Genomic DNA, 3,954 nt, shown 5'->3' on the forward strand with positions numbered 1-3,954 from the left:
GCCCCTCCAAGTCCACCCTCAGCTTTTCTCCACCCTACCCTGCATCTCAGGGATGTAATATTCAAATACTGCATGAATTAAACCCCCTGTCTTCCAGCATCCAGATTGGGTTGATGAACGGGAGGCACCAAGGAGATCAGAGAGCAGAAGATGAGAAAGATCAGGATACTTACAACTCTGCTTCCCAGACCCGCCCCCTGCAACTTTGGGCCACACGTTGGAAGTGACTGTGTCCCTCCACCAAGGGACACGGCTTCTCCTGGGTGGCCCTTCTACCATCACTCAGGCTCCAGTGACCTGGCCCTCCCATTGACAGGTCCCACTGGGGGCTGGAAGGCTTCCCCTGTTACTCAGCCTTGTGTGTTTCACCACCCCGTTGGCTTCCCTTAATTCTGTCCACACCTTTGTAAATAGTGCCTTCCTTAAGTCCTCTTCCAGAAGCACTTTCAGTGCATTGTTCAAACCAGGGCCCTGAATGATACAGGGGTCAAATATTATTAGTTTCCTATTTTCCTCTCACTTTTCAGAGACCGGAAGGCATATGTACGCTTATATGAAATATATATATATAATATATATGTATGTTTGGTGCTATATATATATAAATCTGTACATATGTATCAAATATATTTATCTCACTTATATAGCTGCTTCAAATAACAAAATGTTTTCTGAAGATAAAATAATTTCCTTGAACCCAATCAGTGACAACTGGATGTTGAGAGCAATCAGATTGGTTTTGTTCCCCCAAATAAGCTGAAGCACAGGCAAAGACCAGAGGCATTAGGACAAATTCTCACAACTACAGCCCTGGATCTCAGGAGCTCGTACAGAGCCGTGTTCTGACATCCTGGCAGTTCTGAGCAGATCTCCTTCCAGGCAAGCAAGTGGGGACTCTAGAATCCAGCTCTCCCTCTGGTAGTTGCGCCATCTTCACCTCGGCTCCCAAAGTCTCTGTGGAAGGGATCCCAGAAAATAATAATTATTCTAGTATAAGTAGGTCCATGCAATGCTTAGGATAAGTATATTCCATAACACAAAAGGTATTCATTGCTTGCCTGACATCCCAATTTTATCTAGCCACCTGTATTTTCTCTAGCAATACTGCTCACGTTCCTTTGACCAGAAATAGATTCGTGGCCCCAACAGGTAGCAAAGGGGATGTGAAGTGTGGCCAGGGGCTGGGCAACTGCTTCACAGATGAGCTCCACACTACAGAAGGTGGCATAAAGCTCTGGTGATTAACCAGCTGTCCCTGCCATGCCTTGCGTGTGTGTGTGTAAGTGTTGTGTGTAAGTGTGAGAATGTGAGAGTGTATGAGGGCGTGTGTGAGTGTGAGAATGTGTGTGAGGGAGTGTGTGAGTGTGAGAATGTGAGGGTGTGTGAGAGTGTGTGAGTGTAAGAATGTGTGAGGGCATGAGTGTGAGAATATGAAGGTGTGTGAGGGTGTGTGAGTGTGAGAATGTGAGGGTGTGTGAGGGCATGTGTGTGAGAATGTGAGTGTGTGAGGGCGTGAGTGAGAACATGAGGGTGTGTGCGAATGTGAGAATATGAGTGTGTAAGTCTGTGTCAGAATGCGAGGGTGTGTGAGGGCATGTGTGAGAATGTAAGTGTGTGTAAGTGTGAGAATGTGAGGGTGTGTGAGGTCGTGTGTTTTTGAGAATGTGTGAGGACATATATGTGAGGACGTGTGTGAGAATGCAAGGGTGTGTGAGGGCATGTGAGTGTGAGAATGTGAGAGCAAGTGTGTGTAAGTGTGAGAATGTGAGGGTGTGGAGGGCGTGTGTGAGAGTGAGATGCGAGCGTGAGGGCATGAGTGTGAGAATGTGAGGGTGTGTGAGGGAGTGTGTGAGAGGATGTGAGGGTGTGTGAGGCCATGTGTGAGTGTGAGAATGTGAGGGTGAGGGCGTGTGTCTGAGAATGTGAGGGTGTGTGAGGGAGTGTGTGTGAGAATGTGAGGGTGTGTGAGGGCATGTGTGAGAGTGAGATGCGAGCGTGAGGGCGTGTGTGAGTGTGAGAATGTGAGGGTGTGTGAGGGAGTGTGTGAGAGAATGTGAGGGTGTGTGAAGCCATGTGTGAGTGTGAGAATGTGAGGGTGAGGGCGTGTGTCTGAGAATGTGAGGGTGTGTGAGGGAGTGTGTGTGAGAATGTGAGGGTGTGTGAGGGCGTGTGAGAATGTGAGGGTGTGTGAGGGCGTGTGAGAATGTGAGGGTGTGTGAGGGCATGTGTGTGAGAATGTGAGGGTGTGTGAGGGAGTGTGTGTGAGAATGTGAGGGTGTGAGCGGAGTGTGTGTGTATGTGTGGTAGAGTGTGACCAGTGTTAGTGTGCGGGTGTGTATAGGTGTGTAAGTGTGAATATGTCTGTCACTGTGTGAGCAAAAGCATGTGTGTATGCGTTAGGTGTGTGAGTGTGTAGGGGTGAGAGAGTGTTAGAGTATGTCTGGATGTCGGTGTTAGAGTATGTGTGTAGCTGTGTGTGTGAATGTCAGCGAGTGCATGTATGTGCCTGCGTGTGAGTGTGTGTGACTGTGTTAGAGTATGTGTGGGGGCTGTGTGCATGCGTGTGTGCATATAAGTGTGTGTGTGACTGGCACTCTGTGTGGTGTGTGTGCGTGTGTGAGACTATGAGACTGTTAGAGTATGTTTGTGGGGGGTTGTGTGCATGAGTGTGTGTATGAGTGTGTGCATGTGTGTGTGGCACTGTGTGTGGTGTGTGTATGTGACTGTGTGTGTATGAGTCTGTGTCTGAGTAGCGTGTGTGTGTGTGTGTGAGTGTGTGCGAGTATGTGTGTGGAGCTCTGTGTGGTGTGCGTGTGTGACTGTGTGGCACTCTGTGTGTGGGGTGTGTGTGTGAGAGTGTGTGCGTGTGTGTGTGTGGAGCTCTGTGTGCTGTGCGTGTGTGACTGTGTGGCACTCTGTGTGTGGGGTGCGTGTGTGTGAGAGTGTGTGCGTGTGTGTGTTCTTGGTCATTCGAATCAGTACGCTCCTGCAGCATCTCTCTCTGTTTCTTAGACTTCTCCAGCTCCCGGGTGTCTGGTGAGATGCCAGCCATTGCCTGTGGTTACCGACCCCGACGCTGGCCAGTGGGGTGAGGCGTCAGGGCCGCAGGTGCCTTGAAGCACACACCTGTGTTAGAGTGATAAAAGCTGTCTTTTCTGCAGTCCTAGCCCTGCCCCAGAAGCTCATCTTCTCTGAAGCCCGTTCTCACAGACCTGTTACAAATATGATTCCTTTAGAAGTACGGGGGCTATGAAGCGGGGAAACCCTCTCCTCCCAGATAATGGAGAGCGAATCAGATAATTAAGCAGAGACCTCAGCACGGGACCTGCCGCTCAGGGGTCTCGGAGCCGGCTGCACGCTCTCCGTAGCCCCACTCGCATTGTTTGCTATGGGAGTAGCGCCCCCTGCTGCTTTCAATAACGCAGCCCAGAAATGGGATCAATTACTCCTGCCACTGTCCTTGGTGTGAATATGTGTGCACAGAGCCCTTCCGGTGTGCGTGGCCGGACGCTGGGCCACAGAGATTCACAAATTAGCCCTGACCTCTGGGCTCAACTAATGCAGAGTCTTGGTTCTCCACCCAGAAGCCATTCCCAGCCCCTCCTCCTGATTTCAAAGGCCTTCTCCTTCCTTCGCTGGAAGCTGAGAATGCCAGATCCCCACTTTTGCAGCCGGTTACGCAGGGAGAGCTTGGGAACGTTTCCCGTCTGGCCAGAGGGATTGAGGGAAGCCTGCTGGGAGCTCCTGGCCACTATTGCTCTGCATGTGAGAAAGAGAAATTAAATAACCTGCTCCAGTGGACAATGTTAGAAGCTGGTTATGCTGCAGCCTTTGAAGGTTTTCTGGACAGCAAGGAATGAAGACCTCTCAGGCTGGCCCAAGCACAGGTGGGTTTATTCTAAAGGTGTTGGTTGCAGTCTACCTGGAGAACATCTAAGAGCACAAGACGAAAGT

The 3,954-nt window shown here is 50.3% G+C and overlaps 1 annotated feature.

Moving 5' to 3' along the window:
- Nucleotides 2,720–3,719: an enhancer, noted in NCBI's record as "H3K4me1 hESC enhancer chr12:128674654-128675653 (GRCh37/hg19 assembly coordinates)". NCBI's record gives its function as "activates a minimal SCP1, AML or CMV promoter by ChIP-STARR-seq in primed H9 embryonic stem cells {active_cell/tissue: H9 hESC(primed)}" and the evidence as "EXISTENCE:reporter gene assay evidence [ECO:0000049][PMID:30033119]".

The sequence above is a fragment of the Homo sapiens genome, chromosome 12 (assembly GCF_000001405.40).
Source record: "Homo sapiens chromosome 12, GRCh38.p14 Primary Assembly".
Classification (NCBI taxonomy): domain Eukaryota; kingdom Metazoa; phylum Chordata; class Mammalia; order Primates; family Hominidae; genus Homo; species Homo sapiens.